Consider the following 26,489-nt stretch of genomic DNA (forward strand, 5'->3'; position numbering starts at 1 on the left):
GCATGGTGGCACATGCCTGTAATCCCAGCTATCTGGTGGCTGAGGCACGAGAATCTCTTGAACCTGGGAGGAGGAGGCTGCAGTGAACCAAGATCGTGCCAGTGCACTCCAGACTGGGTGACAGAGTGAAACCCTGACTCAACAACAACAACAACAACAACAACAACAACAACAACAACAAAGTTACTATTTCTCTAAATGTCCATCAATAGGAGACTGGCTGAATAAAGTATGGTACCCATATAATGAAGTACTAGGCTGTAATATAAAGAAATAAAAAAGATCTCTGTTTGCTGCTAAGGAGCAATCTTCAAGACAAGTTAAAAAAAAAAAAAAGCCAGGTGCAGAAGAGTGTGTACAGGTCAAATATTTTGTGTAAGAAATAGGGAGAAGAAACTTGGGGAAGAAATATAAATACATATGTATATACATGCACACATATTTACATGTCTATATATGTTTGCTTATATAGTTGTCTCTCCTCTACCCACAAAAAAAAAACACCAATGGGAGAAAATGGAGAGGTCAGGGATGAATTCCCTGACTATACTTTGGTTTTATAGTTTTGACTTTGGAACCATGGAAATGTTTAACATTAAAACAAAATGAAATTTTAAAACAATTTAATACTGTCATTGTTATTTTGAAATTAAATACATACACATATATTACAGATAAAGCACATGAGTAATCATGCTAATGCCATTAAGAATCAAGATTTTCAGCATAAGGAAAACATATATAAAACTGAGTAATTAAGTAAAAACCCTATAATTTGAATTGGAAGTACTGGTATGACCTCATGTTGTTCTCTTTCAAAAAATATACTTCTAAGCTCCTTCCACTGATAGCTATTATCAGTAAGTTAATTCCAATAAGTTTGATGATTCACATAATTCCCATGAAAATATAACTAATCAAAACTGACACTAGAAGAAACAGAAGATATAAATGGTCCTAAAATTATTGCCAGGTACAGTGACACATGCCCATAGCCCCGGCTATGGTAAGATTGAGGCAGGAGGTTTGCTCGAGCCCAGGAGTTCAAGACTAGACTGGGAAACATAGAAAGACCCCATCTCAAAAAATAATCCTACAATTATTAAAGAACCCAAATCTAATTCAAAGCCTTTCCACAAAGAAAACTCCATTCCCACACATCTTCACCAGTAAATTCTACCAAACATTTAAGGAGCCAATAATGGCAATTTTACACAAACTATTCCAGAGAATACAAAAACAGGGAACACTTCCCAACTAGTTTTTGAGGTCAACGTAATCTTCACGGGAATCCTGACAAGAAAATTATGAGAAAAAAAAAGTATTTGTTAATCTTACTCAAGAATATAGATGCAAAACTTGAATAGAAATATTAACAAACTTAGCACTACATACAAAGGATAATACATCACAATAAAGCTGGATTTAGTCTAGCACTTCAGTTTAGATAAATATTTGAAAACCAATTAATGTACATCACAACACTGACAGAATGAAAGAGACAAATTTTGTTATCTCTCAAAAGCAGAAAAACATTTGATAAAAATCTATATTCATTCATGCTTAAACACTCTTAGCAAACTAGGAAGAGAACTTCCTTAATTGAAAAAAAGGATATTTAAATAAACAACTGACTTGTGATATACTAAAAGCTGATATAACAAACAACTGAAATGGTGATATACTAACAGCTTTCATGCTGAGATCAAAAAAGAAAAAAGATGCCTGCTATCACTTCTATATAATACTGATTTGGAGTTCTTGGTCAAAATAATAATAATAATAAAAGACTGTAAAGGAAGAAATGTCATTACTTGCAGGTGTTTTTATTGAGTTCACAGAAAATCCAAAAGGGAATCTACAAATGGATTTCCATTTTCAAGCAGGGTGTAGTGGGAAGCAAAAATGTGTTGGTCCTACTGCAACAACTAGAAAAAACTTTGTATCATATTTTTAAGATACCAGAAATCATGAAAACAATGAAGACTAAAGGAACTGACATTCCAGGAAAGGAAGAACCATTCCTAAGGTAAGCAAAGATCACTAGCCATTTTCTTTCTTATAGGTTTCCTGTGTAATTTGTTTTGGAAATTAAGCCTGCAGTTGCAGATTTAGGGCTGAGAATTATACCTGCATAGGCAAGAGAAATGTCTCCAGAGGACATCTGCTGAGTGCTGGGGTGATATACAAACCTGGGGAGTTGGGTCACAAAGACGAAAAATCTCCTATGGCCTCCTGGTACTTAGGAGACAACGTCTACTTTGGAAAGGACCTGCAACCCTGTATCAAGACCACATGCAGCCAAGACATTTGCCAGATTTTGAAGCCACAAAGATTAGGAAGCATCTAGACATTAAAAGAAAAACACGAATTTTTAAGACAGACAGGAAGAAAGGTACTTGTGACATGTACTAGAGACAACTGATTAATATTCAGAATATAAAAAGAATGAACTAAAAAAAGACTACCAAAAAGATAAGTGAGTTAAAGCTATCAGTTTATGAAAGAAACACAGATTGCCAATAAACTATTACATATGTTCAGTTGTAATCAGAAAGTTACAAATTAAAACTCCCAGATAACATTTTGTCTTTCATACTGGCAAAAAATCAGTAATAATAAAAATGTTTTAAACTAAAATTCAATAATATGAAACCCTGTGAAAGTAAAATATTCCTAGTAGGTTTCATTTAGGTCCAATATTCAATGTTAATAAAGGTAAACTAGCCTAGCTGGTGCCTACTTTGTCAACAAGAAGTCAAGTAATCTTTTTTAATACCCTAAGACTTTTTAATACCCAAAGGATCTGGCAGAGAGGATATGAGATGGACTCAGAAGCAAAGAAACTAGTCTAATACAAAACATATATTTTCCACCTGTGTCCTAAGTATCAGTATGAAAATGGACAGCAAGATGCACTATAGGAGACAATATAATGCTTTCAACTTTCTAAACTTGATGAATTAGGGGGCGCAATGAGAAAGTAGTGTGCTAACAGCAAGTATGCATAAACCAGGAGTAGAATAAATAAGGTTAGAGACGGACTCTAGAGGGTCTTAAGCACTAAGCTGATGGAGTTTGAATTTTATCCAGTGTTGTGATAAGCAGCCACTGAGCTGTAGAGCTGGGCTTTCAAAAAATTCACCTGGAAGTAGTAGAGAACCAGGGAGACTAGTACTGTAATAGTTGTGGCAAAAATCACAAGAGTCTATTAACAAACATTACAATCTTTAGGTTGCTTTAAAATTCTGGTTACAGAGAGAAAAAGATTTAAAATATTTGAAAACTATTATGGGATTAGATATTCATTTGCTTCATTCTCAAACAACATCCTGGCAGCAGGTATGCTGCATAATGCAGTGGCGTTTAATTATTAAGAAGCAAAAACCTTAAAATTACATTGATCAGTAATCTCAGACATAATGCTTTTTTTTTTATTTTACAAGCTTTGGCCAAAAGTGATTTTAAGATAATTAGAATGTGACACTTTGACAATATAACAAAAAATGACTTAAGGGGTATAATAAATGGGTTTTTAAAATTAACTGGATAGATCAAATGTTAAAATGGATGTCAGAGGAATTATAAATCCCAGAAGGTTAACAGCTCACTGATTGGAAAATTAGCATATATTTTTGCTCCAATGGTCACTTACTTTTCCTTGATGGGTCCTGCCTGCCTGCCTCACTAATACCCAGCAGGGTTCCAAATGGGGAAATTGCCTCATACTCGTTTCAGCAACGTCTCTCCCTGCAATGGTTATCCATGGCAGAAAATACAAAGAGGCAGATCATTTCAACAGGAAAGTCTTATTGTTCTTCTGGTTCCAGGAGAAGGACCACTGCTGCCTATGTACTTCTTCCCATTCCCAAACTGCACCCCTCAAAACAAACAAAAAAACCCCAAAAAGACAAACATCCCCAAAAAACAAAACAAAATACCTCAACAGAAAACTAATAAGCAAAGCCTAGAAGTTCACTCAGAACTCAGGCTTAACTGCTCATCCAAATTCTGTTCTATGCACATAAAGTCTTCACTTCATATTTTCTTGTTCTTACTATGATATTTATATATAGTTCCTATAAAAAGCTTCTCAATTTCCAATAAGTAAGGTTCGAGTTGCACTGGAAGACAGGTAAGAGTAACTCAGGTATATGGGTGCATGTGCTACCTAATCAAGGACAATTACAAAGTACTTTCCTAAAAACACAAGTGTGGGTCTGTTCTGCACTGACCAGCAAGCATATGAATGCCTCTTGCTTAGTGCCATACAGCCTAAGGCCACTGGAGGTCAGCAGAGAACCTGGTCCCACCAGGGGCTGACTGATGGGACTTTCTAGATTCAAGGCAGCAAGCATGACCACCAAGGAGAATAATGAATTACGCTCCTGAATTCCCCAAATGATAAGACTGCAGAAGATAAGATGTGAAGCAAGTTGAAGCAAGGCCATGTTTTAATTGTGTGCATATGTACATGCATGTGTACATGTGTGTCTATGTGTGTTTCGAAATTTTGGAAAGCAGACAGTTACAAAGAAGAAAACAAGAACCACTTCCAACCACCACTGGAGAAAACCACTATTAACATTTTGGCTTATATTTTGGTAACTTTGAAGAAAAGTTGCTTAACTAGCAGAGATATATTTCAATTCAGAAAAAATAAACTCTGAGGTTAGTCAAATAGTAAAGTGATAGCATCAATACTTGCAGAATGGGTTTTAGCAGCTTGGAAGAAATTCCTAGAGAGAGTAGAGCATTACCAATACTCTTAATGGCATGGAGGCCAATACTGTGTAAAAAAACAAAAACAAAAACAAAAAACTCGACTCAGTTGAGAAATGATGCACAAGAGTCAGACTCTAGTTTCAGAATAACTTGAACAAATTTATTTTCCTTTTAAGGCACACACAATAATGACAGAATTTTTAAAATCTATTTCTGAGTCTAAAATAGTTTTCACAATAGGTATAAAAAAATTCTAAGTGTCCCTATCTCTCACCATAAACAAAAATCAACTCAAGATGGATTAAAGACATAAATCTAAGACCCGAAACTATAAAACCAGTAGAAGAAAACATAGGGGAAATGCTTTAGCACATTGGTCTGTGCAAAGATTTTTATGGATACTGCTTTAAATGCACAGGCAAAAAAAAAAGCAAAAATAGACAAATGGGATTTTATCAAACTAAAAAGCTTCTGTAGGGCAAGGGAAACACTCAACAGAGTGAAGAGGCAACCTGAGAATTAGTGGAAATATCTGTAAACTAATCATCTGATAAGGGATTAACATCCAGAATATACAAGCAACAACAACGACAACAAAATCCTATTTTAAAAAGGACATGGCATCTCAACAAACATTTCTCAAAAGACATACAAATGGCCAAAAAGCATGTGAAAAAAAATTGTCAGTTTCACTAATCATGTGGTTACATACAAATCGAAACCACAATGAGATATCATTTCACCCCAGTTAGAATGGCTATTAACAAAAATGTGAAAATAATTAATACTGCAGAGGATTTGGAGAAAGGGAAACATTCACATGTTGTTGATGAGACAGTAACGTAGCACAGCCACTATGGAAGACAAAATGGAGGTTCCTCAAAACCTAAAAATAGAACTACCACATGATCTAGCAATTCCATTACTGTGTATTTATCCAAAGAAAAGGAAATCAGTATAGCAAGGACATATCTGCACCACCGTGTTTACTGCAGCACTATTTACAATAGTCAAAATATGAAATCAACCTAAGTGGCCATCAACAGATGAATGGATAAAGAAAATGTGGGGCCGGGTGCGGTGGCTCATGCCTGTAATCCCAGCACTTTGGGAGACCGAGGCGGGCAGATCATGAGGTCAAGAGATTGAGACCATCCTGGCCAACATGGCGAAACCCCGTCTCTACTAAAAATACAAAAATTAGCCGGGCGTGGTGGTGCGCACCTGTAGTTCCAGCTACTCAGGAGGCTGAGGCGGGAGAATCACTTGAACCCAGAAGGCAGAGGTTGCAGTAAGCCGAGATCATGCCACTGCACTCCAGCCTGGCAACAGAGCGAGACTCAGTCTCAAAAACAAAGAAAAAAGAAAATGTGGTACATATACACAATAAAATACAACTCAGGGCTGCTCTGCCTATGGAGTAGCCATTCTTTTATTCCCTTACTTTCCTAATAAACTTGCTTTCACTTTACTCTATGGATTCACATCAAATTCTTTCTTGAGATCCAAGAATCTTCTCTAGGGGTCTGGATCAGGACTCCTTTCTGGTAATATCCTCCTGGTGAACCATGGAGGGACGATATTGAGGAAACCCCCAACCCAAAAGGAAACAGACTGCAGCACCAAATGGCCAACTCTGGGTAAGTAGTGGGGTATCCGGGTAAAGGATGGGATTGGGTTAGAGGCCCAACTGAGGGGAGTTAGAGTGTCTCCTAAAAAAGAGTGGGTTAAAGGCCCCTCTTAATAAAAGGCAAGGACATCTGGTGGAACTTGGGTTCAAGGCCCAGCTTAGGATGGTTAGAATACTTCCTAAAATTTAGGGAGTTAGAGGCCCCACTCAGTAAAGTTCCTCTCAGCTATGAATGGATTTGGCATTATGGGGAGTTAACCACTATTCTCTTTGGATTAATCTGCCTTGTACTCTTCGCTGACAGCTGTGGGTGACAGGATTAGGCATGTACAGGATCACTGGACATGGAGAGCCTTTTTTCTCCCCAAAAGGGGAAACTTGAAAGCTGGTGAGACTGTTGGAAAACCCCTTTGCAACTGACAAGTGACCGCCTGAACTTTTGATTGAGTGTCACTGCAATAAGTAGGTCTTTCTCTGGCCTCCCTGAGCACCTTGCCTTCCCCACCTTGCTGCAGGCAATGAATGCTTTTCTCCCTTTCCTATCCTCTGTGCCCTGAGACCACATGACAGCAGAGGTTGGATTAAAGATGACAGGGCCCATCTGAGGGCAAGTTTGAACCTTGCCAATTCCATATTGCATACTAAGCAGAGTGGCTACTGTAGCGAATCTGGTGTACTTTGTGCTGCAACTTTGTCTTTCTACATTGCTCTGTCATAAAGAAGAATACCTTTATGGACAGAACACGGGCTTAGGATCCCATAAGCCCAGGTTCAAGCCAGCCTGGAAAACTGGTTAATTACAGACTTTGCTGCAAGTACCTGAAAAAAAAAAATGCTGAAGTTTCCTTCTCATTTTGTTCTATGTCTTTGGGAGCTTGACCTTGTAAGAATGGGTCAGTACTTTCTGTTGGTCTCTGCCATCCAGGGAACAGGAGTTTTGGGGTCCATGTCATAGTTTGCTCAAAAAATTATCTTAAGCCATTAAAAGCCTTTGCAAGCTCAAAACTGACTGCTCTAGCCTCCTTCAGGGAAGAGCAATAGAAACTGTCCAATGCTGTAGCTTAGTAGCTAAGGCTTTGTCTTTTCACAATGGTGGCACAGGTTGAGGGTTCAATTCCTGGCTTAGGGAATAAGTCCTTTCTGGTTTGATATCTGTAAGACCTTTATCATTTGTTGACTCCCTCCCTCTCCACGAACCATCTTGAATTTTCCTTTCTCTGAGCACCTTGGAGGTTACCTTTGGTAAAGTTCAAAACCCAGAAATACTGGTCATTTGGCCTGGCTAAAGTCAGATAATAAGAAATTTAAAAGAACTGTTTTTTTTTAAGAGTGCTATGGTTAAAAGTTAGCTTAATTAAAAGCAGATATTCAAGCTCTAACAGCCTGGGATTCCCTGGGAAAAACAGAGGAGGCACGACAGACCCTGTTTTGGGAAAAACCTCTGTTTTCCTCATGAAACCCTAGAAATTAGAAATAGCTAAGATTCCTCTCAAAATCTAAGGTTCTGTTCTGTTTTGCATTATGTTATCTGACGTTTTTGACTTTGGAAGGTATCAGAAATTACTTTGAATTATGAGAGAACTACTTAAGAAATGTATTTTTGGGCATGCTTAATGGCAGTTATAGTTTAATACTTGACTCTGCACTTTTGGATTAGAGAAGCATGCTCTTGGCCCCCTAGAAGGTATGAAAATGTCCTCACACCCCACTGAGAGATAAGACTCCCATGGGAGATGGGCTGGCTCCCTCTTTTTTTTGGGATCCAGGATCTGGTATAAAAATGGGACCCTTAATTTGGGGGATCTATTTTGCATTCCAGCTATGCCCGCTTATTAGGCTGTAGAAACTGCACACTTCCCTGGCCCTGTTCCTCCAGGGCTCCACCCTGAAGCCAGTAATCCAATTAAAAAACTGGGAAGTAAAAAATCTTACAACTACTAGATCTTCTGTGTATTTATATATGTTGTGTGTAGTGTAAAAAAAGCATCTATTGGCTTAAAACTAATAAGTGCTTAAATCAAGTTATAAATTATGTCTTTTCTGACCTAATTAATCTTTTAGATATTAGGTCCCCTAAAGTCAAAAAATGACATATTTGGCTTATTTGGTATGAAAATCATACAAGAAGCATTGCCAAATATGAGATGGTATTTGGCTTTCTTTGGGCCGTATTTGTATAAATATGTTACTGGTATGTGTTCTAAAATTATAAGAAACTCCTATTACTCTGAAATGACTTAGTCTATGTTATTAATAATTATAATTGATATGTAAAATTGTTGTATGGCACAGAAGTAAGCAAAATTAACTTGTCAATTGTGGCTTTAATAGTGGCTGTCCTAAGACTTTTTGGCATCCACAGACAATGTTGTCTTGTATTGATCCTCTTCAGAAGGTGGTTTTATAATCAACTCTAGAACTCTAACAGGTATTCTTGAATGCAGGTTTCTGATCTTTGGAGATTCTGACTTTAGAGGAAAAAGCATTCAGGACTCATGGAGAGCTGAAATGTTCGTGACTATTAAGCAAGACAGGTATTAACCACATGGACCTAACTAATAGAGGACAAAAATAATCTTTTTTGACTTTTTGCTTAAAATGTTGCTGATCCTTTGTTTAGTTTTTAAGAATCAAGGAAACTCTTCTTTTGAGCTATTAACAGCTTTTAATAATTAAGTAAAGTATACTCCTGTGAACAAAATTTGGAGCATATTTGTTTCTACCTGATTTCTCCAGAATTTGGAAACTATTTGTAAGTATTCTTAACTTATGGCAATACAATTATTTGCATAAGTGCAATAAGAATGTTTTCTTTTGCATCATGACACAATTGGAAAAATTTGTTATTTTACCAAGGCTTTGACTAGAATGGTGTGCTTTCCTTTAAGGAATCAACGTTGACTTGTAGAGCCAATAAAAGCCCCTTGAGAAAACTGGCCTTACACCTTGTCTACACAGTCCCTGTACATGGTTTCTGACCTGTGGTAAGTAAAGAATGTCACTTTCTGATAGGCCAAGGAGCCCCAAGTTATCTTGGGACCTCAAGAGGAAAGGAATTTACTAAACTCACAGGTATTTGAGGATACAAACCCATGGCTGGGCTCAACTTTTTAAAAAAGTCTAACCTGAGATTCCTTCTATGAAAGAAAATCCCATTAAAGCCAATTAAGAAAGCCTGTGTGAAAAATAATTATTCTTGCTGCACTTTATACAAATAACTAGGCCAAGTATAATAAAGCAAAGCAGTCTTACCATGATTTATCTTTAGTAAAAATGAGGACTGGAGAGAGAACTATGGTACACCTGTCTCATCAGTTGTTTTTGAGGTTTTTTCTGCTATTGAGACTGACTCTGCTTATTCCTGTGAATCAACCAGTCATCTCTGGCTGGTACTCAGAAGCAAGAGGGATGGATATCAACTTTTATTAGAACTCAGAGTTATGAATGGCCCTCGACATATCAATGCTTTCTGACTCAGCTCCTCTCTACCCTGAATACAAGAGACTCTAATAGGTAGGCAGGAATATCATTGCCCCTATTCAAGCTCAAGTTACAGAATATGGATCTTTGTCCCTCTACAATCCTTAGGATTAAGGGTTCCCTTGTAAAAGAGAGAGGGAAAATATGCCAGAGGCCACTCAACCAGGTCAACTCTGTCAGAGGCGTTCAAACCAGAGTGACTCCATGTTGCATAGGGGTTGGGTAAAATAAGGCTGAGGCTTACTGAGCTGCATTCTCAGGAGGTTAGGCATTCTAAGTCATAGGATGAGATAGGAGGTTGGCACAAGATACAGATCACAAAAACCTTGCAGGTTGCAGTAAAGAAGCTGGCCAAAACCCAACAAAACCAAGATGACAATGAAAGTGAACTCTGGTCATCCTCAGTGCTCATTATGATAATTATTAATATAATGCATTATCATGCTAAAAAACAAAACACTCCCAGCAGCACCATGACAGTTTACAAATGACACGGCAATGTCAGGAAGTTACCTTACATGATCTAAAAAAGGCAGGAAGTTCCAGGAATTGCCCACCACTTTCCTAGAAAACTCAAATAATCCACCCTTTGTTTAGCATATAATAAAGAAGTAACCATAAAAATAGCCAGCCAGCAGCCCTTGCGGCTGCTCTGCCTATGCAGCAGCCATTTCTTTTATTCCCTTGCTTTCCTAATTAATTTGCTTTCACTTAATTAAAAAAAACAAAAAAACAAAAAACAAAGAAAAAGAAAAAGAAATACAACCCAGCCAGTCAAAAAGAGAAAGACAGGAATAGTATTAATCTGTAAATTGTTTTGGGCAGTATGGCCATTTTAACGATATCAATTCATTTCCACAGAATTAGAAAAAACTATTGTAAATTCATACAGAACCAAAAAAGAGCCTCAATAGCCAAAGCAAACCTAGGCAAAAAGAACAAAGCCAGAGGCATCGTATTACTGGACTTCAAACTATACTACAAGGCTATGATAACCAGAACAGTAAGATACCAGTACAAAAACAGACACATAGAATAAAGGAACAGAATAGAGAACTCAGAAATAAAGCCACACACTTACAACCACCTGATCTTCTACAAAATCAACAAAAATAAGCAATGGAAGAAGACTCTCTATTCAATAAATGGTATTGGAATAACTGGCTATCCATATGCAAAAGAATGAAACTGGACCTCTACATATCATCATATACAAAACTTAAGTCAAGACAGATTAAAGACTTAAACATATGACATCAGACTATAAAAATCCTATAAGAAAACCTAGGAAATACCTTTCTCATCATTGGCCTTGGCAAAAAATTTATGGCTAAGACACCAAAAGCAACTGCAACAAAAACAAAAACTGGTAAGTGGGACCTAATTAAACTAAAGAGCCTCTGAACTGCAAGAAAAACTACCAAGGAAGCAAACAAACAACCTACAGTATGGAAGAAAATATTTGCAAATGATGCACTCAACAAAGGTCTAATATCTAGAATCTATAAGGAACTTATTAAATCAATAAACAAAACACGAATAACCCCATTAAAAAGTAGGCAAAGGCCTGTAATCCCAGCACTTTGGGAGGCCAAGGTGGATGGATCACCTGAGGTCAGGTGTTCAAGACCAGCCTAGGCAACATGGTGAAACGCCATCTCTACTAAAAATACAAAATTAGCCCGGCATGGTGGCATGTGCCTGTAATCCCAGCTATTTAGGAGGCTGAGGCAGGAGAATTGCTTGAACCCGGTAGGCAGAGGCTGCAGTGAGCCAGGATTGTGCCATTGCACTCCAGCCTGGGCAACAAGACCGAAACTCTGTCTTAAAAAAATAAGAATAAAAATAAAAACAAAAAGTAAATAAAAAAACAAAAAGTGGACAAAGGATGTGAACAGACACTTTTCAAAAGACGACATACAAGCAGCCAACAAACATATGAAAAAATGCTTATTATCGCTAATCATCAAAGAAATGCAAATCAAAACCACAATGAGATACCACCCCATGCCAGTCAGAATAGCTTTTGTTAAAAAGTCAAAAAAGAACAGATGATGGCAAGGCTGAAGAGAAAATGAGGCACTTAAACAACTGTTGATGGGAAAGTAAACTACTCCAACTGTGGAGAGCAGTGTGGAGATTTCACAAAGAACTAAGAGTTGAACTGCCATTCAACCCAGCAATCCCATTACTGGGGATATACCCAAAGGAAAATAAATTGTCCTACCAAAAGGACACATGCATGCATATGTTCCTCGCAGCACTATTCACAATAGCAAAACCACAGAACCAACCTAGGTATCCATCAACAGTGGACTGGATAAAGAAAATGTGGTACATATACACAACTGATTACTATGCAGCCATAAAAATCAACAAAATCATTTCCTCTGCAGGTGTCCATCAATGGCAGACTGAAAAAGAAAATGTGGTACATATATGCCATGGTACACTATGCAGCCACATATATAAGAATGAAATCATGTCCTTTGCAGCAACCTGGATGCAGCTGGAGGCCATTATCCTAAGTGAACTAACACAGAAACAGAAAACAAAATACTGCATGTTCTCACTTTTAAATGGGAGCAAAACATTAGGTATACATGGACATAAAGATGAGAACAATAGACACTGTGGACTACTAGAGAGAGGCAAAAGCAAGTGGGGCAAGGACTAAAAAGCTACCTATTGGGTACTCTGCTCACAGCAGGTTGACAGGTGCAGTTATACCCCAAATCTCAAAACACCGCAATATGCCTTACTGTAATAATCCTGCACATATACCCCCATGTACCCCCGATTCTAAAATAAAAGTTGAAAATGAACAAAAAAGGATGAAATCCTGTCATTTGTGGCAACATAAATGGAACTAGAGGACATTATGTTAAGTGAAATAAGCCAGGCACAGAAAAATAAATACTGCATGTTCTCATTCATATGTCGGAGCTAAGAGAGTTGAGCTCATATAAGTAGAGAGTAGAACTGTGGTTATTAGAGGGTGGGAGGGGTAGTGGGGAGGGGAGGATAGGGAGAGATTGCTTAACAGATTAAAAAAAATTACCTCTAGAGAGAGGCGGAGCAAGATGGTGAAACAGAAAGCTCCACCAATTGTCCCTCCTGCAAAGACACCAATTTAACAACTATCTACACAAAACAAGCACCTTCATAAGAACCAAAAATCAGGTGAACACTCACACTACCTAGTTTTAACTTCGTTTCACTGAAACAGGCAGTGAGAAGGTAGAAAAAACTGTCTTGAATCACCAACACCACCCCTCACTCATCCCCTGGCAGCAGCTGCACAGTACAATAAACAGTGATTGGGAGAAGGAGAGCACAGCAATTGTGAGACATTGCCTTGAACTCAGGGCTTCCCTGTTATAGCAGAAAGCAAAATTGAACAGAACTCAGCTGACGCCCACACATGGAGGGAGTATTTAAACTAGCCCAAGCCAGAGGAAAATCACCCATCTCAGCAGTCAGAACTTGAGTTCTGGCAAACATTACCACCTTGTGCCACAGTGCTCTGGGCCCCTAAATAAACTTGAAAGGCAGTGTAGGCCACAAGAACTGCAACTTCTTGGCAAGTCTTAGGGCTGAACTGGACTCAGAGCCAATGGACATGGCGGGCAGATATATGACCTACTGAGACACCAACCAGGATGGCTTAAGGGGCTGCTGGCATCACCCCTCCGTTAACCCCAGACTGCATAGCTCACCACTCCAAAAGAGACCCCTTCCTTCTGCTCAAGGAGAGGAGAGGGAAGAATGTTGAGGACTTTGTCTCGCATCTGGGATACCAGCTCAGTCACAGCAAGACAGGGCACCAGACAGTCGTGAAGCACCCTTTCCAGGCCCTAGCTCCTGGATGACATTTCTAGATACATCCTGGGCTGGAAGGGAACCTGCTGCTTTGAAAAGAAGGACCCACTCGACAGGATTCATCACCTGCTTACTGAAGAGCCCTTTGGCCTGAATAACCAGCAGCAAGAGAAAAGAAAGAAATAACATAAAATGGAACTCCAATAGGTCTGGCAGCAGACTTTTCAGTGGAAACCTTACGTGCCAGAAGAGGGTAGCATGATATATTCAAACTGCTGAAGGAAAAAGACTTTTATCCCAGAATAGTGGGATAACATCCCACTATTATTATAGTGGCAAAAACATCCTTCAAATATGAAAGAGAAATAAAGACTTTCCCACACAAACAAAACCTGAGGGATTTCATCAACATCAGATGTGTCCTACAAGAAACGTTAACGTGAGTATATTAATGAGAAAGAAAAAGACGTTAATAATAAGAAATCATCTGAACGTACTAAAGTCACAGAAAATAGAAAGTACACAGACAAACAGAAAATATTATAACACTAATTGCGGTGTGTCAACTACTTTTAAGTAAAAAGACTAAATTAGGGACCAATCAAAAAATAATAACCCCAACAACTTTTCAAGACAAAAAGTACACAGAGATATAAACAGAAACAACAAAAAGTTAAAAAGCAGGGAGATGACGTTAAAGTGTACAGTTTTTATTAGTTCTCTTTTTGCTTGTTCATTTGTTTATGCAGTGTTATCAGCTTAAAATAATGAGTTATACGATAGTATCTGGAAGCCACATGGTAACCTCAAATCAAACATACAACTGATAAATAAAAAATAAAAAGAAATGAAATCATATCACCAGAGAAAATCACCTTCACTAAAAGGAAGACAGCAAGGAAGGAAAGAAGGAAGAGAAGACCACAAAACAATGAGAAAAGAAATAACAAAATGGAAGGCGTATGCCTTTACTTATCAATAATAACACTGAATATAAATGAACTAAACTCTTCAATCAAAAGACACAGACTGGTGTAATGGATTTAAAAAAAAACAAGACCCAAAGATCTGTTGCTTACAAAAAACACACTCTACCTCTAAAGACATACATAGACTGAAAATAAAGAAATGGAAAAAGATATTCCATGCCAATGGAAACCAAAAAAGAGCAAGATCACTATACTTATATCAGACAAAATAGATTTCAAGACAAAAACTATAAGAAGAGACAAAGAAGGTCACATATAATGACAAATGGGTCAATTCAGCAAGAGGATATAACAAATGTAAATACAATGCATATACATATGTAATGCATGTAATACAATGTAAATATATACGCACCCAACACTGGAACATCCAGATATATAAAGCAAGTATTATTATAGCTAAAGAGAGACCCCAACACAATAATAGCTGGAGACTTAAATACCCTACTTTCAGTCTTGGACAGATCTTCCAGACAGAAAATCAACAAGGAAACATCACAGTTAACCTGCACTATAAACCAAATGGACCTAACAGATATTTACAGAACATTTCATCCAATGGCTGCCGAATACACATTCTTTTCCTCATCACAAAGCTCATTCTCAAGGACAGACCACATGTTAGGTTACAAAACAAGTCTTAAAACGTTCAAAAAAATTGAAATTATCTCAAGCATCTCCTCTGATGACAATGGAATAAAACTAGAAATGGATAACAAGAGAAATCTTAGAAATTATACAATTACATGGAAATTAATATGCTCCTGAATGACCAGTGGTCAATGAAGAAATTAAGAAGGAAATTGAAAATTTTATTGAAACAAATAATAATGGAAATACAACATACCAAAACCTATGGGATTCAGCAAAAGTAGAACTAAGAGAGAAGTTTATGGCTACATCAAAAAATAAGAAAAAACTTCCAATAAATAACCTAATGATACCTCTTAAAGAATTAGAAAAGCAAGATCAAACCAAACCCAAAATTAGTAGAAGAAAAGAAATAATAAAGATCAGGACAGAAATAAATGAAATTGAATTGAAAAAGACAATACAAAAGCACAGGTAACAAAAAGTTGGTTTTTTGGTAAGTTTTACAAAATTGACAAACCTTTAGCCAGACTATGAAAAAAAGAGCGAAGACCTAAATAAATAACATCAGAAATGAAAAAGGAGACATCACAACTGATACCACAGAAATTCTAAGGATCATTAGCAGCTACTGTGTGCAACTATTTGCCAATAAATTGGAAAATCTAGAAGAAACTGACACATTCCTAGACACATACAACCTACCAAGATTGAGCCATGAAGAAATCCAAAACCTGAACCGACCAATAACAAATAATGAGATCGAAGCCATAATAAGAAAGCTTCTGGCAAAAAAAAAGCCCAGGACCTGATGGTTTCACTGCTGAATCCTCCCAAACATTTAAGGAAGAACTGATACCAATCCTACTCAAACTATTCCAAAAAACAAAGGAGGAGGGAATACTTCCAGACTTATTCTATGAGAACAGTATTATCCTGACACTAAAACCGGACAAAGGCACATCCACACAAGGAAAACTACAGGCCAATAAATATTGATGCAAAAATCCTCCACAAAATACCAGCAAACCAAATTCAACAGTACATTAGAAAGATCATTAATCATGACCAAGTGAGATTTATCTCTGGGATGTAAGGATGATGGTTCAACATATGCAGATCAATCAATGTGATACATTATATCAAGAAAATGAAGGATAAAAAACATATGATTATTTCAATTGATGCTGAAAAAGCATTTGATAAAATTCAACATTCCTTCATGATAAACACCCCCAAGGAACTTGCAGAGAAGGAACATATCTCAACTTAATGAAGACAATGTACAATAGACCCACAGCTAGTATCATACTGAATGGGGAAAAACTGAAAGCCTTTCCTCTAAGATTTGGAATACAAGGATGCCCACTGTCACTATTATTCAACATAGTACTGGAAGTCGTAGCTAGAGCAGTCAGATGAGAGAAAGATATAAAGGGAATCCAAATTAGAAAGGAAAAAGTCAAAATATCCTTGTTTGTAAATAATATGATCTTATATTTTGAAAAACCTAAAGACCACTAAAAAACTATAAGAACTGATAAACAAATTCAATAAAGTTGCAAGATACAAAATCAACTTACAAAAATCAGTAGCATTTTTATACGCTAACAGTGAACAATCTAAAAAAGAAATAAAAATGTAATCCCATTTACAATAGCTACAAATAAAATAAAATACCTAGGAATTAACCAAAGAAATGAAAGATCTCTACAATGATAATTATAAAACATCGATGGAAGAAACTGAAAGGGACAAAAAAAGGAAAGAAATTCTATGTTTATGGATTGGAAGAATCAATATTGTGAAAATGTTATTACTACCAAAAGCAATCTACCTATTCAATGCAATCCCTATCAAAATACCAATGACATTCTTCACAGAAATAGAAAAACAATCCTAAAGTTTATATGGAACCACAAAAGACGCAGAATAGCCAAAGTTATCTTAAGCAAAAAGAACAAAACTGGAGGAATCCCATCACCTGACTTCAAATTATACTACAGAGGTATAGTATTAGGTTGGCACAAAAGTAATTGCGGTTTTTTGCCATAAAAAAAAAAGGGCAAAAATCGCAATTACTTTTGCACCAACCTATAACCAAAACAGCATGATACTGGCATAAAGAACAGACACAGGCCAGGCGCAGTGGCTCACGCCTGTAATCTCAACACTTTGGGAGGCTGAGGCTGGTGGATCACGAGATCAAGAGATCGAGACCATCCTGGCCAACATGGTGAAACCCCATCTCTACCAAAAATACACTAATTAGTTGGGTATGGTGGCACGTGCCTGTAGTCCCAGTTACTTGGGAGGCTGAGGCAGAAGAATCACTTGAACCTGGGAGGTGGAGGTTGCAGTGAGCCGAGATTGCGCCACTGCACTCCAGCCCCGCGACAGAGCAAGATTCCGACTCAAAACAACAACAACAACAACAACAATAAACAAACAAAAAACAGACAGATATATCAGTGCAACAGAAAATCCAGAAATAAATCCATATATCTACAGTGAACACATTTTTGACAAAGGTTCCAAGAACACACACTGGGGAAAGGACAGTCTCTTCAATAAATGGTACTGGAAGAACTGGATATCCATATGCAGAAGAATGAAACTAGACCCCTATCTCTTGCCATACACAAAAAATCAAATCAAAATGGATTAACGACTTAAATCTCAGACTTCAAACTATGAAACTACTACAAGAAAACATTGGGGAAACTCTCCAGGACACTGGAGTGGGCAAAGACTTCTTGAGCAATCTCCGATAGGCACAGGCAACCAAAGTAAATAAATGGACAAATGGGATCACATCAAGTTAAAAAGCTTTCGCACAGCAAAGGAAACAATCAACAAAGTGAAAAGACAACCCACATAACTGGAGAAAATATTTGCCAACTATCCATCTGACAAGGGATTAATAATGAAAATATATAGGGAACTCAAACAACTCTATACTCAAAAATGTAATAATCTGATTAAATAATAAGCAAAATATTTGAATAGACATTTCTCAAATGAAAACATACAAATGGGAAACAGGTATATAAAAACGTGCACAACATCACTGATCGTCAAAGAAATGCAAATCAAAACTACAATGAGATACTATCTCACCCCAGTTAATATAGCTTTCATTCAAAAGACAGGCAATCAAATGCTGACGAGTATAAGGTGAAAAGAGAACCCTCTTGCACTGTTGGTAGGAATGTATATTAGTACAATCGCTATGGAGAACAGTTTGGAGGTGACTCAAAAAAAGTAAAAATAGAACGACCATATGATCCCATGATCCCAATGCTAGGTATACACCCAAAGGAAAGGAAATCAGTATATGCAAGAGACATTTGCACTCCCATGTTCATTGCAGCACTATTCAGAACAGGCTAGATTTGGAAGCAACCTAAGTGTCCATTGACAAACAAATGGATAGAGAAAATGTGGTACATACACATAATGGAGTATTACTAATCCATAAAAAAAAGAATGAGATCCTGTCACTTGCAACAACATGGATGGAACTGGAGGTTACTAGGTTAAGTGAAATAAGCCAGGCACAGGAAAACATTGCATGTTCTCACTTAACTGTGGGAGCTAAAACTTAAAACAACTGAACTCATGGAGATAGAGCATAGAAGGATGGTTACCAAAGGGTGGAAAGGGTAGTCGAGGGTCAGGGAGGGATGGTGAATGGGTACAAAAAAGTAGTTTGAAAGAATCAATAGGCCGGGCGCAGTGGCTCATGCCTGTAATCCCAGCACTTTGGGAGGCCGAAGCGGGCGAATCATGAGGTCAGGAAATCGAGACCATCCTGGCTAACATGGTGAAACCCAGTCTCTACTAAAAATACAAAAAATTAGCCAGGCATGGTGGCGGGCACCTGTAGTCCCAGCTACTCAGGAGGCTGAGGCAGGAGAATGGCCTGAACCTAGGAGGTGGAGCTTGCAGTGAGCCGAGATAGCGCCACTGCACTCCAGCCTGGGCAACAGAGCGAGACTCTGTCTCAAAAAAAAAAAAAAAAAAAAAAAAAAAAAAAAAGATAAATAAGACATAGTATTTGCTAGCACAACAGGGTGACTATAGTAGAAACTAATTTAATTGTACTTTTAAAAATAACTTAAACCGTATGATTCGATCTCAATCGTTTTAAAGACAAAGGATAAATGCTTGAAGTCATGGATACCCTGATGTGACTATTACGGACTTCAAAATATCTTTTGGCCTGGCGCAGTGGCTCACGCCTGTAGTCCCAGAACTTTGGGAGGCTGAGGCGGGTGGATCACTTGAGGTCAGGAGTTCGAGACCAGCCTGGCCAACATGGTGAGACCCTGTCTCTACTAAATCTACAAAAATTAGCTGGCCGTGGTGGCGCACACCTGTAATCCCAGCTACTCAAGTGGCTGAGGCACAAGAATCGCTTGACCACTGGAGGCAGAAGTTGCAGTGAGCTGAGAACGCGCCACTGTACTCCAGCCTGGGAGACAGAGCAAGACTCTGTCTCAAACAGAAAAAAAAAAAATTCTTGTAATCCATAAAAATATACACCCTACTATGTATCTACAAAAGTTAGATAAAAATAAATTACCTCTAGACAGGAGAAATAAGTTCTAGTGTTGTTCTACAGCACTGTAGGGTGACTGTAGTTAATAATAATTTATTGTATATTTTTGAGTACTAGAAGAGAGGATTATCCTGATGTAACCATTAAACATTATATACATGTATTCAAATATTACTCTGTATCTCATAAATGTTTATCACATATGAATTAAAAATATAACTGATAAGAAAGCTTTGTGTTGTAGTTCATTTTTTCTTTTGTACATAAAATTTTGCCTTACGATCAATGATGAGTTAGACTGGGTATAAACTATGGCAGTATTTATTTCATTTTTGGAAAATAATGATAACTGTAGTGCCTACAAAACAGTTCATAAGTGCTGGTACTGTTTACTATTCATTTATCTATCCATCTGTTCAACAATTACAACTGAACACCTACTATGTGCTAGATACCATTCCAGTGCTAGGAATAGAAAGGTAAAAACATAAGGTCTCTACTCTCATAGAGCCATTTTATCATTATTATTGTCATTATTAACATCACTGCTGCTGCTGCTACTACTAGTTGTTTCCATAGGCTAGAATATTAAATGAAATTCTTTTTTTTTTTAATGGACAGAACAGTATGAACATATTAAACGAAATTCTTAAATGAATGAAAATGAAAAACTCAGGACAACCACACAGAGAACTGTGGGTCAGTTTCTAGAAGCCATCAAGTAGCTCAACTCCAAGCATTCCTCAAAATGCTGGCAAAAGCCTATTCAAAGAAAGTTTTTAAAAATTCAATAATTGTGTTGAAGGTCATTTATTACAGTGAAAATAAGCAAATTACAATTAACAATATCACAATACTCTGTATACTGCAGATTTCTAGCTTCTTACACATACTTTTTCAAAAACTCCAAGGAAGTAAGGCGCTCCTAGCTTTTTCCTTAATCAATGACAAACTACAGGTTCAGGACTTTTAAAATACCAAGTTTCTAAAAATTTGTAAAATTTCAAACTTACCAAAAAATTGCAATTGCATTTTTATTTATATAATGACCCATTATAGACTATTTAAACAGACTATTTTATAACCTGTAATAGGACATTTTAAGTTGTTTTTATTCAGAAATGGGCGAATTCTCCATTTCTATGGGGAATTCAATTTAAATTACTTTATTTTGACTTTCAAATAGCATAGTTAACTGATAAAAGCTGTATCGTCCTGGGTTCCAGTCTGGCTCCCTCCATTTACTATGCAACCTTGGGAAATAACTTAGCCTCTCTGTATCTTTCAGCCTCTTCATCAGTAAAATGGTAACACAGTCCAACTCTCTGAAAGGTCAGTGCTCTCTCCTACCTCAGAAACTTCACATCTACTGCTACTTCCATCTAAAACACTCTTCTTCCACTACTTCACTTGAAAATTCCTACTCTTCCTTCACTTTTTTTAATCATTTCCTCGAAAACGTCTTCCCTATCCCTGCAGACTAAGTCAGACTCATCATTTTGTAGCATTCAATACCTTCCCGTCAGAATAGATATCACAATTTGCGATTGTGTATTGTACTCTCTTGCCTTTCTGGGTGTGTTTGGTTCATTGCTGTAGCTATAGAACCTTCCACATAGCATTACATAAGGTAGGCATAAATTTTTTTGTTGTTAAATGAATAATACTACTTAACTAGAGGTGTAATGCGTCGTGGTAAAGATAACTAAAATATCCGAAAGAACATGTCTAAAATCAAGTAAGCACTCAATAAGTAGTAGGGTTTTTTCCCAGGCAATTTGACTAGAAACTTTTTACAGGAACTTTTCCAAGAAATAATACTGTGACTTTGGATAAAAGGTCTCAGTGAAGCAGTGAGTTGGAAGCAAGGCAGACAGACTAAAGTACTCAAGGGCAGGACAGAGTAGGCTAACATAATACCAGACAGGTGATTGATACAAACAAGACATACGTGGGCATGATGATATCTTGATTCTGAGGCCACCTTCTGTCCTTGCTAGGAAGCTTCTTACAGATCTTCTGCCTAACAAAAACTAATCCTAAAGCAACAAGTAGGTACACTTGGTTGGAAAGAATACTGTAAGGAAATACAGACCACAAGAATTAAAGCTTTTAATTTGCAAAAAAAACCTAATTGTCTAAGTAGAAAATCTATGGACTGTATTTATAAAACTTATTGGAGCTAATAAGTTTTAGTATATAGGGTCAATATAAAAAATCAATCTTATTTCTATAAACTAGCAACAAAAAAACTAAAAATTAAAATTTAACAATCAATGCCATTTATAACAGCACCCCAAAATAAGAAATACTTACTGAGAGATCTCACAAAAGATGACCAAAACATGAGAAAAAAAATACCAGGCAAGCCCAAAATGAAGGACATTCTACAAAATTCTTAAAGAATATTACTCAAAACTGTCAAGGTTGTAAAAAATGAAGACTGAGAAACAAATAGATCAAAGGTAACCAGGAAGACATTATGCCTAAAAGTGATACTCTAGAACAACAACAACAAAAAGATATTAAGTGGAAGAGGGATAAAATCCAAATAAAATCCAAATGTGCCATAGTAATATAAGATGTTGATGTTAGGGCAAAATAGGTAAGGAATATAAGGGAATTCTCTGTATTATTTTTGCAACTATAATCTACATATGATCTACAATTATTCCAGAAATAAAGTTTAAAGTATCATTTACAATAGCATCAAAAAAATAAGAAATACTTAGGAATAAATCTGATAAAGCTATCCAAGACATGTAGGCTGAAAAACCACAAAGCATTGCTGGAAGAAACTGAAAATGCCTAAATAAATGGAGAGATATACAATCTTCATGGATTCGAAGAATCAGTATCATTAAAATAACAATTTCCCACAAATTGCCCTGAGGATTCAAAGTAACCCCAGTTAAAATCCCAGTCGCCTTTTATGTTGTCATTAAAAATTAACAAGCTGATTCTAAAAGTTAAATGGAAATCTAAATCAACCAGAACTGCCAAACAACTCTGAAAAAAAAGTACAAAGTTGAAAGCTTTACCTGACCAGACTTCAAAACTCTTTATAAGCTATAGTAATCTACGAAGTACTGGTATAAGCACAAACAGATCAACAGTATAGAAGAGACAGAACAAAAATAGACCCACACATACAGTGTCAGTTTATTTCAGCAAGATGCAATGACAGTGAAGAAAGGATAGTCTTTTCAACAAATAATGCCAGAACCATATGCAAACAATTGAACTCCAATTCATACACTATGCCACATGTAAAAATTAATTCCAAATGGATCACAGACATAAGTATAAACCTTCATACTACCACATTTATAAAAGAAAACATAGCAGAAAATCTTTGTGATCCTGTGTGAGGCAAAGACTTCTTAGATACAACATCAAAACTATAATCCATTTTAAAAACTGACAGTAAGACTGCACCAACATTAAGAACATCTTCTCTTCAAAAGACACTCAAGTTGGAGGTCTCATACTTCCTGATTTCAAAACATACTGCAAGACTACAGTAATCAAAAAGTGTGGAACTGGCATAAAACAGACATACAGACCATGGTACAGAGTCCAGAAATAACCCCTCAAATATATAGTAAAATGATTTTTGATGAGGATGCCAAGGCCATTCAATGGGGAAAGAACAGGCTCTTCAATAAATGATGCTGGAAAACCTAGAAGTACACATGCAAAATAATAAAGTTGGGCCCTTACCTTGTTCCATACACAAAAATTAACTCAAAATAAATGAAAGACCTGAATATAAGACCTAACACTCTTAAACTCTCTAAACACTCTAAAACTCTTAGAAGAAAACATAGGAGAGTAAAGCTTCATGACATTAGATTGCAATTATATCTTGGATATAACATCTAAAGCACAGTCAACCAATGTAAAAATACATAAGATAGACCACATTACCATCAAAAATTTCTATGACTCAAAGGACACAATTAACAGAGTGAAAAGGCAACCTATAGAACAGGAGAATTTATTTGCAAATCATATATATGAGGGGTGAATATCTAGAATATACAAAGAACTCCTACAACTCAACATCAACAACAAAAACCCAAATAACCTGATTTTAAAATGGGCAAAGGAGTTGAATAAATATTTCTCCAAGGAAGATATACAAATGACCAATAAGCATGTGAAAAAATACTGAACATCACTAATTATTAGGGAAATGCAAACCAACACAATGAGATACCATCTCACACCCATTAGTATGGCTGCTATAAACAAACAAACGAACAAAAACAGAAAATAGAGCCCACAGAGTCACACACACCGTAGTCCCAGCTACTCAGGAGGCTGAGTGGGAGGATCCCTTGAGCCCAGGAGTTGGGTGGGTGGAGGGGGGAGGGATAGCATTAGGAGATATACCTAATGCTAAATGACGAGTTAATGGGTGCAGCACACCAACATGGCACATTTATACATATGTTAACAAACCTGCACGTTGTGCACATGTACCCTAAAACTTAAAGTATAATAATAATAAAATTTAAAAAAAATAAAAACAACAACAAAGAGAAAATAAGAGTGCAGGTGAGGGTGTGGAGAAACTGCAACCCTTAGGTACTCCTAATGAAAATGTAAAATGATACAGCTGCTGTGAAAGATGGTATGATGTTTCTTCAAAAAATTAAAAACTACCATATGATCTAGCAATTCCACTCCTGGATATATATTAAAAAAAAACTGGGAACTTTCTTTAAAGGTCTCAAAGAGATATTAGTACACTCATGTTCATAGCACCATTATTCACAATAGCCAAGGGGCAGAATCAACCAGTGTTCTTGATGGATGATAAACAAATCGTGGTATATACATACCACGAAATATTATTCAGCCTTAAAAAGTAGGGAAATTCTGACGCATGCTACAACACGAATGAGCCTTGCGGACATTATGCTAAGTGAAATATGCCAGTCACAAAAAGACAGATACTGTATGATTCCACTTATGTGGAGTACCCAGAGTAATCGCATTTGTAGAAAAAGAAGGTAGAAAAGTGGTTGCCAGGGGCTGGGGAGAATGGGCAATGGGAAGCTGTTGTTTAACGGGTGTAGAGCTTCAGTTTTGCAAGATGAAGAACTGGAGACTGGTTGCACAACAATGTGAATACATTTAACAGTATTAAATTGTACAATTTAAAATGGTAAGATAGTAATTTTATGTATATGTTACAATTTTTTTAAAAAAATACAAGGGTAGAATGGGCGAAAATATTTGCAAATTACATATGTGAAAAAAGACTTGTATTCACAATATATAAAGAACTCTCAAAACTCAGAGGGCAGGGCACAGTGGCTCATGCTTGTAATCCCAGCACTTTCAGAAGCCGAGGAGGAACAATCACTTTAGCCCAGGAGTTTGAGACCAGCCTGGGCAACATAAGGAGACCTGTCTCTAAAAATATTTTTTTAAATTAGCTGGGTGTGGTGGCACATGCTACTTGGGGGGCTGTGGTGGAAAGGCCACTGGGGCCTGGAAGGTCCGAGACTGCAGTGAGCCAAGATTGTGCCACTGCACTACAGCCTGGGCGAGACAGTGAGACCCTGTCGCAAACAAATAAATAAACAAATTTCAATAAGAAAATAAACAATCCAATAAAAAATGTGTAATATTTGAACAGACACATCATCACAGATACATGAATGTATATAAACATGTAAGAATATTCTCAACGTCATTAATTATTAGAAAAATGCAAATTAAACCACAAGGAGACACCACTTCACACATATTGGAATATGTAAAATTAAATAGACTATCCACTCCAAGTTTTGACAAGAATATGGAACAACTGGAACTCTCATGTACTATTAGTGGGTATATAAAATAGAACAAATACTTTGGAAAATAGTTTGGCAGTTTCTTAAAAAGTTAAACATGGACCTACCATATGACCTAGCATTTCACATCTAGGTATTTGCTCAGGAAAAATGAAAACATATGTATAAAGATTTATATCTGAATGTTTATAACAGCTTTATTTGTAATCCTTATTTGTATAAAGATTTATATCTGAATGTTCATAACAGCTTTACTTGTAATAGCCAGCAAGTCGAAACAACCCAAATGTCTGTCAGGAAGTGAACAGATAAACAAATTGTGGTATATAGCCACACAATAGAATGCCACTAAATAATAAGAAATAATATATGCAACATGAAACAATCTCAAAATAAACATACTAAGTCCAGAAAAAAAAAAAAACCCAGACAAAAAAAACCTCATACTGTATGATTCACTTATATAAAATTCTAGAAAATGCAAACCAATCTCCAGTGATGGAAAGTAGATGGTCCTTAAGGATGATGAAGGTGAGGTATAGAAGGGACAGACAGGGATCACAGAGGGGCACAAGGAAAATTTTGGAGGATGACAGCTATGCTCAATATCTTGATTGTGGTGATGGTTTCATGGATACACACATGTATCAAAACCTATAAAATTATAAAATTTAAATTTGTGTAACATATGTCAATTATACCTCAATAAATCTCTTTTAAAAACTGCTTTAGGATTGAACAATCTATTTTTCAAAGCACTGATACGTATATCAGTATATAAATTAAAGTTGTTTAAATGGTTAGGAAAAAAAAAAATTCGACCACAGAATAATCTGCCTAAAAGGCATTTCTCTTTAGAACACAGAATTCTTAAG

At 36.7% G+C, this 26,489-nt stretch overlaps 1 protein-coding gene and 1 long non-coding RNA gene across 2 annotated transcripts in view; one reads left to right on the top strand and one right to left on the bottom strand.

Annotated features, from left to right (window-relative positions):
• Window positions 1-26,342, top strand: part of LOC105376176 (uncharacterized) — a 33,752-nt gene extending 7,410 nt beyond the window's left edge. The window contains exon 3 of the long non-coding RNA XR_001746547.2: window positions 1,959-26,342. This is a non-coding gene — a long non-coding RNA (uncharacterized LOC105376176). The remainder of the gene's footprint in view (window positions 1-1,958) is intronic.
• ERP44 (endoplasmic reticulum protein 44) overlaps window positions 1-26,489 on the bottom strand; it is a 119,816-nt gene that overhangs the window by 44,829 nt on the left and 48,498 nt on the right. The window lies entirely within an intron of this gene.

This window comes from Homo sapiens, chromosome 9 (genome assembly GCF_000001405.40).
Source record: "Homo sapiens chromosome 9, GRCh38.p14 Primary Assembly".
NCBI lineage: Eukaryota > Metazoa > Chordata > Mammalia > Primates > Hominidae > Homo > Homo sapiens.